Source organism: Homo sapiens, chromosome 8 (genome assembly GCF_000001405.40).
Source record: "Homo sapiens chromosome 8, GRCh38.p14 Primary Assembly".
Classification (NCBI taxonomy): Eukaryota; Metazoa; Chordata; class Mammalia; order Primates; family Hominidae; genus Homo; species Homo sapiens.
The window spans coordinates 60399220-60414099 of NC_000008.11; the positions used below are offsets into that span (position 1 = coordinate 60399220).

The window sequence follows — 14880 nt, forward strand, 5'->3', positions numbered from 1 at the left end:
CTGCAGTGACCATTGTGGTTCAAGCCACCATCCACTCCTGTGTGACTATTGCCTCTGAACAGATCTTCTTGCCTCTCTCTTTGCCTTTTCTGTCTGTTCTTCACAATAGCAGCCAGCGTTGTGGTGTTAAGCAGAAGTCAGGTCGTGTCAGCCTGGAGTGCTGGTGCATGCCTGTACTCTCAGCTACTCAGGAGGCTGAGGCAGGAGGGTCACTTGAGCATGGGAGTTCAAGGCTACAATTAGCTATGACTGCACTTGTGAATAGCCACTGCAAGGCTGAGCCCGGTAGCTCACTCCTGTAATCCCAGCACTTGGGGAGGCCAAGGCAGGCAGATCACTTGAGGTCAGGAGTTTGAGACCAGCCTGGCCAACAAGATAAAACCCCGTCTCTACTAGAAATACAAAAAAAGAAAAAAGAAAAAATAGCCACTGCACTCCAGCCTGGGCAACATAGCAAGACCCCATCTCTGAAATATAAAAGAAAAATAATGAAAATATATATATGAAATTCAAAAAAAATTGTTGAGAGAAGGTGTCACTCTGTCATTCAGACTGGAGCGCAGTGGCACAATCATGGCTCAGTGCAGCCTCAACCTCCTAGGCTCAAGTGATCATCCTGCCTGAGCCTCCAGAGTAGCTGAGACTACAGGTGCATACCACCACATTCAGCTAATTTTTTTATTTTTATTTTTTGTAGAGATGAGTTCTTGCTATGTTGCCTAGGCTGGTCTCAAACTCCTGAGCTCAAGCAATTCTCCTGCCTTGGCTTCCCAAAATGCTGGGATTATAGGTGTGAGCCACCGTGCCTGGCTTAAAATAAATTTTTTTAAATCCTATGTTGTTACCTGGGCCTGTGATGCACCCAACCTGACCTCTTTGTTCCTGAACAACGCAAGCAAGTCCTTTACACCTGCCCTTCCTGCCACCTGCATGATCTGCCCCAGGAGTCTGCAGCTCCTTTGCTCCTTTCAGATTTTTATTCAGATTTCACCTTCTCTGAAAGGCATCCCCAATAATCTAATCTAATAAAATTAGATTAGATCTAATAAAATAATCTAATAAAATTAGACCCAATTAAGGTCTAATTTTAAATTGAAAAAAAAAAATGCCCCACTGTTCTTTGTAGTGGGTTGGATGGTGGCTCCCGCAAAAATATATCTACATCTTAACACCTGGAATCTATGATTGTGCCCTTATTTGGGAAGACGGTCGTTGTAGATTAAATTAAGTTATGGGTCTTGAGATGAGATCATCTCAGATTATCCAGGTGGACCCTAAATCCGGTATGTGCCGATAAAAGACAGAAGAGAAGACACAGAGACCCAGAAGGAGAGGCCATGTGAAGATATATCACTATCCAATATAAAATTTATTTATCAAGTGTATTGACTTTCTACCCTACTAATCTATAAGCTAAGGAAAGCAGAGATGAACGGTTTTGGTGACTGCTGTATTCCCAGCATCTAGAACAATAGCTGGGACCTGATAAGTGTTCCATAAACATTCATTGATTAAGAAAACAAATAGATGAATAAATGAATGAGTGACAGGTCCCCAAATATAGTGTCTGAGTAAATAGGAGAATTGTGGATCTACTGATAAACACATAGAAAGAAATCATAAACAGGATTGAGATGGAGCTAGCTACACAAGGTCCACTTGGTAGTTGGTCAGTTTGCTGTGACAGAAGTACCAGTTGAAATCTATCTGCTTTCCCTAATTTAGGATTCATTTGTCCAGCCAGCTCTAAAATAATTTTGAAAGATTTACACTGTTACCTTAATAAGGTAATTAATAAGACAAAAACAGAAGAAACATGACAGGTGTTGGAGATACTGAACGGATGTTTGGGTGAAATGTCAGTGTCAAAGATACATAGATTAATAATTAAATTTCAAGTATATCTCCTTCAAAATCCTATTTTAGCCAGCCTCTCTTGCACCAGACATTTTATTCTCTGAGTTCAAAATTGATTTGTTGATTGACTGATGGATTGATTTCACCTCCAATGCTTTCCCCCTTCTATATACCATGGCAATTCTTGTGCTCAGGAAGGCAGCAAAGACTCAAATTTTACAAAGGACAAGGGAAGTCCAATAGATCTAGAAGGTCAGCAAATCCAGAGGAGACACTGAAGCTGCAGAACTTCCCCCAGCAGCACTGGCCTTGGAGCACATGTCCTCATCAAGAGATGCCCTTAGCCTGAGCCCTGCAGCAGGAGGGAGACTCTGAGGGGCCTGCACATGCTTCAGGACACATAGGACTGGGTGTGGGGTCAGGATGCAATTCCAACCTTGGCCCACCTTAATTCCCCACCCTTTGCACCTCTATTTAATGAGGTACTTCTACCAGTGAGGATGCTTTCCAAAATAATTTTTTCCCATTTTATAAATGTTCCCCTCACTTTTTGAACAAAAATAATCTCATAATAGTTCATAGGTCTTAAAGGTAGAATAGATCTCACCTGCCTGCATGCGTTTGAAGTTTTAGGACATCTTTCAAATGGTACAGTGGCAGTGAGAGAGATACATATGGGAGTTCATTTTCCTTGTTTACTTTGTGTGATCTGTAGAGTCTCAGTGATCTTGCAGAAGCCAAAAGGCCCTCATGGTTAGCATTTGGTCCTACTGCTTTCACAGAAGTGCAGTTATGCAGCAGTCACTGGCCCTGTGCTGGGCTCAGAACACCCCATCTTCTTGCCAGCCTGTAGGAGGCAGCCCGTCTTCACCACACAGCTTCCACCTGAGCCTCAAAGTGTTTTTGAAACCATCAGAGCTGAAAAACAGCCCTCATAAAATCTGAGAAAATGTTAGCTTCATGGATGAAATCTGTATTTGGCATTGATTTTTTAATGGGCATTGAGTGATGAGATGAAACATTTTCTTGCAGTATCTGGTATATATTTTGTATCTCAATACTCTGACATGTAATAAAACCATTTTTTATTTTTTTAATTCTGAGTTTATTTTAATTCTGAAGTTAAACCAAAACAAAAAAACTTGAATTGCTCTTAATTACTGTATTTTTCACCATGAGTATTAGATTGTACTAGTATATTTCGCATAGCTTTGAGGTTATTAACACCTTCTTTATGACAGAAATGTTTTTGCTTTATTTAAATAAAATGCCTAGCACCTATTGTGGAAGGAAAGTGACTTCTGAATTCTCAAAACATTTACAGGTAAAAGCAGTCAGTGCAGACTGTTCCTGTACACTTCTCGAAAGAAAGAAGCATTCCTTTATAAGACATTTAGCCACAGACCTGATGACAAATTAAGACCCCCTTGGGACCAAATTGTGGGAGTAATTTTCCACCAAAAAAAAGAAATAGACATATTTTATTATTTATATTTTCCTTTCTGTGGAAAATATATTGTTTATATATTACATAGTCATATTAAACCTGACTTCTCAGACCACATTTTAAAAATAGATTGCAGTCGTTTTATTGCACGTGTTCTGTATTCACACAAGTCAGAATTTTGTGTATTTGTTTCTCATAAACATCATGCTTTGACCCACTGGAAAGCAAGACTGTGAAGTGACACATGACTCCTGAGCAGGGGCTGCATGCGAGGCATTGAGAGACTTCTCAGAGCTCCCCATGAGCTGAGCTGGCTGCCTGCTCCAGGAGTAATCAGGACCTACCCTATGGAGCTAGAGTTTCATCCCTCTGGGCATGTGCTAAATCACACTAATTCACACAATGCTCCTAAGGGGTGACAATTAATGCACTGTCTCTTCGGGGGCACTTGTATTGCTTACAATGAGTGGATCCCTAACTGGCATGACATGAATCCCAGGGCTATCCCTAAGCCTAGAGGAGAAATTCATAGACAGGACATCTCTAACTCTTGTTGAAGGTTTTCTTGCCTGACTTCAAAACTGCGTCTGACCACAGAATCATTACTCACCACCCTGAGAGCTGGAGCCATGAGCTAGTCTCAGACGAGTGCAACCACAAGGTAGCTACTTTTTTTTTTTTTTTTTTTGAGATGGAGTCTGTCTCTGTCGCCCAGGCTGGAGTGCAGTGGAACCATCACAGCTCACAGCAGCCTCGACCTCCTAGGCTCAACCAATCCTCCCATCTCTCAGCCTCCCAAGTAGCTGGAACTACAGGCATACACCACCTCACCTGGCTAATTTTTGTATTTTTTGTAGATACAGGTTTCACCATGTTGCCCAAGTTGCTCTCAAACTCCTGGGCTTAAGGGATACACCTGGCTTCCCAAAGTGCTAGGATTACAGGCATGAGCCACAGCACGCAGCCCTAAATTTCATTCTGGTTAAATTGCACGTTTAGAGTGTCCAATTAGAATAATCTGTAATCCATTTCCACGTGGCCATCAGTTGCTAAATCTTAAATCTGTGTCATTGGACAAGTTTTTGATTTCCCTAAACCCATTTGTTCTTGCGTAAACTGAGGATAATATTGGCAGGGATTTTGTAATTAGAGTAATGCTAAGATCTTAGCACAGAGCCTGGAACACAGAAAAAGCCCACCAAATGGTAGCTAGTATCATTTCGTGTTATGAGTTGAAACTAATTAGTTCTAGAGTCATCACATCTCAGACCAGAAGGGACCTTCCTGGTCTCCCAGTCCAACCGCGACTCTCCAACACGCAGCCAAGCAGTCGTGTCTGTGCAGGACAGCTTCCAAGATACTCAGCATTTGACATAAAACTCTTCCATTGGGACTATTGCCAATAGCGGTGAGGAGGAGGGAAAGTGGTGTGAAGGCATATTTGCCAGAACGGGCTGTATGAAAATATAACCTGACTTTTCTTGCACAGTTGGATTTCTGAGCACAGAAGTGTTGCAAGTTATCCTACTGGAATGGAATGTAAACTACAGTCTAAGGTGTTACTTTGTGAAAGGCACTTTGAAAACAAACCCCCTCTCATATCTCTTATAAACCACAGCTGTTAAAATCCAGAGGTACCCAGTTAGGTAGTACAGATTTCTTTCCAACACAACTAATAAATGAGAGACTGCTCTGAAAACCTCGGCATGCATCACTTAAGCCTGGGAGCTGCACAGTGACACTCAGCTGGTGCCTGGCACCAGCAGAGATTATCATTGAAGCATTGAAGGTTACGCCAGGAATCACAACATTGCCACCTGCATTCTGGCTGGGAATCACAAGCCTGCCAGGAAAAGTCGATGCAAGCCCTCCATGTCCTTCCTCAGTGCCAGGGGCTGGAGGACACTGTTAGGGATCAGCTTCACCCCCCACCTGCAATTCGACCTTGTTCTTGAGTCATTGTCCTCCCCGAGCCTAAGGTGTTCACTCACCAACAGGTGACAATTGTGAGCACCTGCCTTCCCTACCTGATTATTAAGGGCTTTAATGAATTTCATTTTCATAAAGTGTTTTCATATCCTTGACAGAACATTTCTATCCCAGTGTAGGGGAAAAGCCATTATCATTATTGACCTCAGAGTCAAAAGAGAGATACTTTTTCAGCCTTCCTTACTAATAAAATTGTAGTATCAAATGTTTATATAATGCTTTTCATCATAGACACAAACACAAAATTTTAAAGTTCACAATTTTGGAATATGAATTTGCTGCATTATTCAAGGTTGCCAGTTACAGTAGAGTTGCTCTAATGATTCCAAGTGCAGATGGCCAGAGCTGGCCTCAGATTCTCAGTTCATTAAACAGTCCTTCCTTTGACCAACAGCCCTCTCATTGTAAGGCCGCCTGGGTCTCAGCTGATGTCAAAAGCCCCATTCTACCCTGGGTGGATTGTTCACATAAAGGATCCCCATACATATTCTGCTGCAGATAGGGATGGGGCTGGCTCTGCAGATGTCGCTGCCTCCAGCACTGTCACTTTTGCTCATCACACGATCTTGGGTCTCTTTCCAGAGACTTGCACAAAGCTCAATTCAGAGTTTGCCTGTGACTGATGCACACTTGGCCTGCAGATGGACAGAGGAGGAGGAAAAGGCATCCCAGTGTTCTTCCCCGTTTGCCTGGGAAAGCTTGGGAATTCTTGGCCTCTTTAACAGCTTCGACTCAGGCTGAAAAACAAATCAGAAAGTTGCCAATGGTTTCATTCAGTCTACGAAACTGGGTTAATGTGACTCTGTGAGTGAAGCCATCAACGCACAAAAGTCAGGAAACCCAAGATTGCCATTCCCACCGCCCACGGAGGCTCTCTGCACAGGTGACCCTGTGTCCCTGCTGGGGCGCCAGACTGCATCCTTGGCAAAGCACAGAGCCACTGGGCCAGTCATCCTAGGAGTACATCAGCCTTTGGGGACTTAGTCATGGGGAAAACGGTCTCTGCATTCATGGTACTGTAATTTCAACTCTTAAATATATTCATTTGTTTTTAAATTGACTTTTAAATGCAGTATCATATATTTACTGAAAAGTGCACAAATGCTCAATGAGCACCTCACTGAATTTATACAACATGAATACACCCATGGAATCAATAACCAGGCAAGAAATCAAGCACTGCCAACACCCAAGGAGGCCCCCATCAGCCTCTTCCCCATCTCTAATATGATGATAAAACCTGACTATAAACATTAACAAAGGAATGGGATGTAAATAGACTCTGGAACTCTAGAAGAGATTAGAAAATCTTATTTGAAACTATCTTCTGAAATTGAGATTCCTGGGAACACTGGCAGACGTTGCTATCATTAGAATTCTCACCCAGCTAGCAGAATAAAGGGTGTAGTTACCCTGAAAAATTCCACAGGCACTATCTCCAGAGATGGCTGTATAGCACCTGTGCCCTTTCTTCCGATAGGCAGATACTCCCAGTAGAGGAAACACACGTGACACGTGTTCCCACCCAAGGACACCATGAGAAGCTCTGCAGAGCAGGTCAGTGCTGACTCCACCCTGGGCCTCTGAGTCAGATGTCAGGCCTGGCCATGTAAATTTCAAAAACTTCCCAAAGAGATTCTGAAGTGCATCCCTGGGTGAGAACAACTCTCTCAAAGTGTTATTCATTTTGTTATTTCATTACACACTTTCCAAGCCCATTCCCTCTGACAACAAAAGAATGAAACCCAGCAAAGGTGCAGGAAGGGGGTCAGGTGAGTTTCTTCTCCCCCCTTCCTTACTTCATCTGGGCTGATTTTGCCTAATCAAAATCGCTCCAATCACCCACAGAACTGGTCAAAATCCCAACCTCCAGAGATCAGCTCCTTTTTGTATGTAACTCCAGGCCTTTGCCTGCATCTAAAATGCTCTCTTCCTCTTCTCCACATAGCAAACTCCTACATGTTCTGCAAAATCCAGGCTAATTGTCTCCACTTTGTGTTTCCTGACTTAGTCCTTCTGTGCGCCCTAATATCCCATTAAAGGCCTCTTTACAGTTATCAATGGCTTTTTTTTTTTTTTTTTTTTTTTGAGACGGAGTCTCACTCTGTCACCCAGGCTGGAGTGCAGTGGCGCGATCTCGGCTCACTGCAACCTCCTCAGCCTCCCGAGTAGCTGGAATTACAGGCTGGTGCCACCACGCCTGGCTAATTTTTGTATTTTTAGTGGAGACAGGGTTTCACCATGTTGGTCAGGCTGGTCTCAAACACCTGACCTCGTGATCCACCTGTCTTGGCCTCCCAAAGTGGTGGGATTACAGGCATGAGCCACTGCGCCCAGCCATCAATGGCCTCTTCACAATTCTTGGCATATCACATTGTAATGACCTTTTGTGCTGCCTGTACCACCAAATAGACTGAGATTTTCCTCTTTCCACCTCTGCATTCTCATGGCCTAGAATGAACCCTGGAATATGCTAAATAAATAAATGATGGATGTATGCATGGATGGATGGATACTTAGAAGTGCTTTGTAAAGTGCAAACCATTCCATTTCCATCCACTCTATAACTCTCACACATAAACGGATATCTGGAACTCAAACATCCCTTTTTCCCTAGACTCCATCCTTCTCACCCTCCAAGTAGAGACCCAATTCTTTTTCATTTCAACAGGAACTAGAAACTCTACACCTTCACTATGTATTATAATTGTCAGCAAAATTTTATCTTTCTTTTCAGCATCATTATTCTCTGAGACTTACTTCCAAAGTCTAGCATTACCATGGGCCTTTTGCCTCTCTCTTTTACCCTAAAAAGCAAACATGGAGCAAATAGGCCTCTTGGGTTGGGGGTTGGAGGGGGTGGGGTTCCACCCAGGGAACAATGGCATCAAGGCCAACCCAAGCATGCATTGTGGCTCAGCAGGTGGTTCAGTGGCTACTGCGTGTATATACACAGCAGTGGATTTCTTGGGAAGACTAAGCTACAGCCAGCCCCTTAGGTGACAGTGAGCTGAGAGTTCTACACATAGAGCTGCCCCACAGTGGCTGGTGGTTTCCTTTATGGAGGAAATGTTTTGGAATCCCAGTCCTAGCATGTGATGGTTTTCCTACATTCCAAGAGCAGCCATGTGGCAGAGGCATGCTCAGAATAAGGCATTTGAGCAAAAATGGAGTAAAAACTGTAAAGTTAGAGGGAGAGGGAATTGAACAGCTGGAGATACGGGATATTAACTAAGATGTGTCTTAAAGTGATATGAATGAGGGTGTTCCTTACCATGGGAAACCAGTGTGGGAAGGTTTAAACAGCCATGGTGGCTCACACCTGTAATCCCAGCACTTTGGGAGGCCGAGGCAGGTGGATCACTTGAGGTCAGGAGCTCAAGAGCAGCATGGCCAACATGGCAAAACCCTGTCTCTACTAAAAACAAAAAATTAGCTGGGCATGCTGGTGGGTGCCTGTAATCACAGCTTCTTGGGAGGCTGAGGCAGGAGAATCACTTGAACCCAGGAGGAGGAGGGTGCAGTGAACCAAAATCGTGCCACTGCACTCCAGCCCAGGCGACAGAGACTCTGTCTCAAAAAATAAATAAATAAAATAAAACAAACAAAAAAGAAAGCATGTAAATAGCATCATTAACAATATGTCAGAATTTCACATTAGAATAATGCCAGAGCTTGACAAAATATTAGAGACCACATACATCAAACCCATAATTTTATATAAGGCAACTGAATTACCAAGACAAACCACGAACAACTTTCATAGCAGGGTCAATCATGATATCCATTTTATAGTCCAATTTGAATGTTATTCAGACCTACCCAACCTCAAAAATTCCTACCTGGTGTCTGTTATGATGTCTTATGTATTCCCAACATTTTTTTCATTTCTTTGAGGAACAATATCTTGTTTCCAGAAAGTGCACATTAAAAACAAATCTGTTGTCAAATTGAATGGCAGTCCACAAAGTAAATGTCCTGTACTCTAAAAGTCAAGGTCATAAAAGTTAAAAACAAAAAGGCTGATGAACTGTTCCAGACAGAAGAAAGACAGAGAGACATGACAGCAAAATGAAATGTGAAACCCCAGGTTGGATATTGGCTCCTGGACCAGGAAAAGAACCATTTTCTTTTCCTAAAAAGTACATAAGAGAAACAGTTAATACAATTCAAATAAGATCTATAGATTAAATGCATCAATTTCCTGATTTTATCATTATAGAGGAGAATGATCTTGTTTTTGGAGAAGACACACTGAAGTACCGGGGGTAAAAGAGCAGGGGCCACACATTTTTTTTTTTTTTTGAGACAGAGTCTTGCTCTGTCACCTAGGCTGGAGTGCAGTGGCGCAATCGCGACTCACTGCAACCTCCATCTCCTGGGCTCAAGCAATTCTCCTGCCTCAGCTTCCCGAGTAGCTGGGATTACAGGCACCTGCTGCCATGCCCAGTTAATTTTTGTATTTTTAGTAGAAACAAGGTTTCACCATATTGGTCAGGCTGTCTTGAACTCCTGACCTTAGGTGATCCACCTGCCTCAGCCTCCCAAAGTGCTGGGATTACAGGCATGAGCCACCGCACCCAGCCGGGCCATGCATATTAAAGTCACCTTCGTGCATCTCAGCAGGAATAAGGAGACAAGTACCTGCAAGGATAGCAAGCCCAACTGGGAGGCGGTGCAGAGCCTCAGTGATGCAGCCTCTTGTGCTGCCAGATTCCCCCCTCGTGATGGCATAGAAGTGGTTACACACATGGCTTAACACCTCCAGTGCCCTTCATTTCCTCAGCTGAGGGTGTGAAGAAAAATACTAGTGGCCAACACTCACGAAAACCTTCGTCAGTGCCAGGCACTGCTTCAAGCGCCCCACCTGCATTACCAACAACCTTTTACAAATGAGAAGACCAAGGCACAGAGAGTGAAGCAATTTGCTCAAGGTCACATAGCTGAGTGTCACCAAAACTGAACCACTCCCTTATACCATGTCTCAGGTCCTAGCATTTCTGTGAAACATAAATGAAATATGTCAAGCACTGAATTTAGAGCCCATGGGAAGGAAGTGCTTGGTAGAGGTTAGCTTAATCATCAGTGTTAACTTCACCACCACCATGAGTGAAAGATATGCCGCAGTACCCAGACCATTGGCTGGACCCTAAGTCCTCAGAGCTAAAGTTCCTTTCCTCGCTAACTGTTGTGCAGAGTTTCATCAAATCATGCAATCCGTAAGCTAAACCCCAGATATCTCAGAAGAGCTAAAACAAAACTAGGAGTAACAAGTGAATATCTTCTTTCTTGTAGCAATCGATAACTTTGTAGGTTGGTTTCATAAAACTTGGCTGCGTGATTCATTTAGACTTGAGGATATTTTCCAAACTATTTGGATTCCTTTTTAGGACACCACAAAACTGGGGGCGGGGGGAAGATTTATAGTCAGTCATAACTGTGGTATAGATATTTCAGACATGTATTTGGGCTTTTCTCTAGAAATCATGCTAATATATCTTGTCTAGTAAAAGATACTGGATGCCATTCACACAAGTCACTTTTCTGTTTTTTAAGATTTTTGGTTCCTTACAGAGTGGACTTTAATGGTGTATTAGTCCATTTTCACACTGCTATAAAGAACTATCTGGGACAGGGTAATTTATGAAGAAGAGGTTTAACTGACTCACTGTTCCACAGGCTTAACAGCGAGCATGACTGGGCGGCCTCAGGAAACTTACAATCAAGGTGGAAGGTGAGGCGGAAGCAAGCACATCTCACACGGCAGACCGGAGAGAGAGGAAAAGCAAAGAGGAAACTGCCACACACGTTCAAACTACCAGATCTCATGAGAACTCACTCACTATCATGGAACAGAAAGGGGAAAGTCCGCCCCCAGGATCCAATCACCTCCCACCCGGTCCCTCCCCCGACACACGGGGATTACAATTTAAGATGAGATTTGGGTGGGGATACAGAGCCAAACCATATCAGATGGGTTTTTTGGTTGTTTTTATTTGTTTGTTTGGTTGGTTTGGGGTTTGGGTTTGTTGTTTGTTTTTTGTTTTCTTGAGACAGGATCTGACTCTGTCACCCAGGCTGGCGTGCAATGATGCAATCTGGGTTCACTGCAACCTCCACCTTCCAGGCTCAAAACATCCTCCCATCTCAGCGTCCTGAGTAGCTGAGACTACAGGCACACCCCACCACATCCAGCTAATTTTTGTGTGTGTGTATTTTTGGTAGAGACGGGGTTTTGCCATCTTGCCCAGCCTTGTCTCTAACTCCTGGGCTCAATCAACCGTCTGCCTCAGCCTCCCAAAGTGCTGGGATTACAGGCATGAGCCATTGCCCCCAGCCTGTTTTTGTTTTTTGAGGCAGGATCTCACTCTGTGGCCCAGGTTGGAGTGCAGTGGCAGTGATCTTGGCTCACTGCAACCTCGACCTCCTAGGTTCAAGCAATTCTCCCACCTCAGCCTCCCAAGTAGCTGAGACAACAGGCACATGCCACCACACCCAGCTAATTTTTTAATTTTTTTAGAGACAGGGTCTCCCTATGTTGCCCAAGCTGGTCTCAAACTCCTGGGCTCAAGTGATCCTCCCACCTTGGTCTCCCAAAGTGCTGGGATTAGAGGCCTGAGCCACTGCGTCCACTTCCTTTGATGGTTTCTACTTGGTTGGTGCTGATACTGAATGGATGGGTCATCCAGTCATGCTCCTTAAACTCAAAAGGACACTGGATTCGTCAGCTAGGGCTACTGTAACAAAGCTCCACAGATCAGGTGGCTTAAACAACAGAAATATATATTCTCCAATTTTGGAGGCTAGATACCCAAAATCAAGACATCAGCAGGGTTGTTTCTTCTGTGGCCTCTCTCTTTGGGTCTTCATATGATCTTTCCCCCTCTGTGTGTGTCTGTGTCCTTATCTCCTCTCCATATAAGGACACGTGGGATTGCAGTCATGTGGGATTGCAGCCCACCCTAAGAGCCTCATTTCAACTTAATCACCTTTGTAAAAACATCTCCAAATGCAATAAACATTCTGAGGTACTGGGGTTAGGACTTCAACATGTGAATTTGGGGTGGGGACCCAATTTCACCCAAAACAGAGACTGAGACAGAGGGGAAGACAGAACCCATACACATGTGTCTTCAATTCTAGGCATGAATATTCCCTGGAAGCTCATTGTTTGTGGAACACTATTTCTAGCTTCCGATGCCACCTGTCTCCTCCAAATCAGCCTCCCTGAGAACTAATTCAACAAAGGGTCCATCCTAGCAAAGTTTTCAGAACCTTCTCTTGCATCTCCATAAACTCCTTCTTGAAGTCCACTGTACATCCCTTGACATCCCCACCCAGCTGACCCTGCGCCACCATCTTCTAGGGAATTTCCAGTATCCAGGAATACAAGATTCTTGTGCTTAATATGTTGGCATCATTGCTGCATTCAACGCTCAACCAATATGGCTAAGCAACTTGGAAATAATCCATCCTCTTAATAGCTGATATAATTTTTGTACTTTATTTACTACAAACATTGAATTTTTCCTTCAGGCCTCATAGAGAACAGCACTGACAACTTCCAGAAACATATTTGAAATGCCTGACATAGTGTACACAGCTGATGAGAAATGTTCCGAGTGTGCTGTGACAAAAACGAGGAAAAGTCGACAGGAAATCACTAATCCAAAATGAAAGCTCTCCAAAGCTCCCTGCCACACATCCCGCTTCTGATTGAGGGACCCGTGGTCTGCACACCTGCGTGGGCCACTAATCCTCCAAGGGACCGCAGGCCTCTGTGTCCATGTCAGTTACACAGGAGTCAAAAATAGACTGTTCTCTACTCCCCAAACTATGTAAGGAGGGAAAAATGAGATGGAACTGTAAGAAAAACTTGGGTAAAAGTCAAAATAGTTTAAATAAATTTAATTTTAATTCCTCACTGTCGAAACCGACTTAAATACATTGAATTTGTTGTTTTTATTCTGGCATTGTTTACCAGGTTATAAAGATGAGATGGCTCCCACAGTCAAACGTCTGTCTTCAACTCCATGAAAAGATTTAGAGCTGCGATTTTATTGCCCTTATCCGATCCTTACCGAATTTCCGTGGCTCTGGACTTCCTCCTACACGACAGAAGATAACCGGGCCACTGAAGAGAAACTCATTTTACTTGTGGGCCGCGTGTAGTAAAATCTGTGACCACCAGGGGGAAGCACAGACCTGGTGCTGCTGTAGACCTGGTCGCTGGGTGTTCGCGGCGGGATTTCTCCAGCCACAGGGTCCTCCCTTCCCTCCCGGAAAACCTCTCTGCGCTGCAGGAATCTGAAAGTGCTCAGGGGCTGCGGGCTCTGGCTCTGGTCTGCTGATGGCAGACCTTGCCCTGAGGATGCCCTCCTCCTGCCCAGTGCTGGGCAAGGGACTCCGCCCTGGGAGCTGAGTCAAAGCCGGACTGGGCTGCCTTTGGTGCTCAAGGTGGTCCCTGAACACCGGCCTGGGGACAGAGACCAGACCCAGGATTCACAGGCCACGCAAGGCATCTGAACCTGAACTCACAGTCTCCAGGCCCGGGGATCTTTCTGAAGACTCGGGGCAGGAACCAGGCAGCCCAGGGCAGGGGCATCAAAGCCTCTGGTCAGGAGGGAAGAGGAAGCCCATCGGCCTTGGGAAGATTCTAAAAGCAAACCAGGCTCCATATTGACCTTCCGCTGCACTCGCAGAGCGTTTTCTCCTTCTAATTCACTGTTAGCGCGTAAGCCTGGACCAGCACCTCACACCACAGACGAACGAAGGCACTGCAAGACGCCAGCGACCCAAGCAGAAAGCGCTGAGGGAAGGGGCAGCCCCGCAGGGTGGTCTCCCTGGCTCCCTGTTTGTTGTGAAACACACGCAGCTCCCCGACAGCAGGCAACGCTCGTGGTAAACACAAAACCCCAGCCGGGAACCAAGACACCATCAGAACCAGGCGACAAGATCCTGTCACAAGGAAAACAGAAGCTCAGCCTGGGTTGCGTTGGTGGGGTGTTGGGGCTGATGCTTCCACAGCCCTCTCTTAACTTACCTGGTAACTGGCCCAACTCGTCCTGTCACCCAAAACGGGGTAGATAGGGATCCAAGGAAGCATGGCAGAGACACGCGCAGGGTGACAGGGCTGAGGTGGCTCTGCACCCAGCTCCCCCTGCAGTTCCCACACACGGGCTTCCCATTCATCCCGGTGATTGATGCTCCTGGAAGCGCCTGGAAACTCTGCCTGTGAGCTAATTATTATGGGGAATGACCTGCGTCCTGGTCAGGAGTGAGTAGGGAGATCATTAGGTGAGAGCTGGCTATTCACAAGAGGGCAGCCTTTGATGCGAGCCGAGCAGAAAGTTTGGCCGAAACTCAACACCTCTTAGAAGTACAGATTAGTGGAGAGGAAGAAAGGAGAACGCATTGTGGAAGTTTTCAAGAAGGAGACAAAGATGCCTGTGTTTTGTATAGCTCAGCTGCCTCAGGAAAATGTCCATTTGTTTTCTTTACACTCCTTTTACATTTTAAGTGGAATCTAGTGAATGTGTCTTTTCAGCGTTCCCAATTTCACCATTTTCACTACACCTCGTGTTGCC

At 44.7% G+C, this 14880-nt stretch overlaps 1 long non-coding RNA gene across 1 annotated transcript, besides 2 other annotated features; it reads right to left on the reverse strand.

The window, feature by feature from the left end:
* Positions 1–2951: 2951 nt before the first annotated feature.
* Positions 2952–14599, reverse strand: LINC01301 (long intergenic non-protein coding RNA 1301). The gene is made up of 3 exons (NR_103854.1): positions 14337–14599; positions 9136–9278; positions 2952–6030 (listed from the first exon to the last, which is right to left on the reverse strand). It is a non-coding gene; the product is annotated as a long intergenic non-protein coding RNA 1301 (long non-coding RNA).
* Positions 13569–13638: an enhancer, noted in NCBI's record as "active region_27421". NCBI's record gives its function as "activates an Ori minimal core promoter by ATAC-STARR-seq in GM12878 lymphoblastoid cells {active_cell/tissue: GM12878}" and the evidence as "EXISTENCE:reporter gene assay evidence [ECO:0000049][PMID:35858748]".
* Positions 13649–13758: an enhancer, noted in NCBI's record as "active region_27422". NCBI's record gives its function as "activates an Ori minimal core promoter by ATAC-STARR-seq in GM12878 lymphoblastoid cells {active_cell/tissue: GM12878}" and the evidence as "EXISTENCE:reporter gene assay evidence [ECO:0000049][PMID:35858748]".
* Positions 14600–14880: the final 281 nt, after the last annotated feature.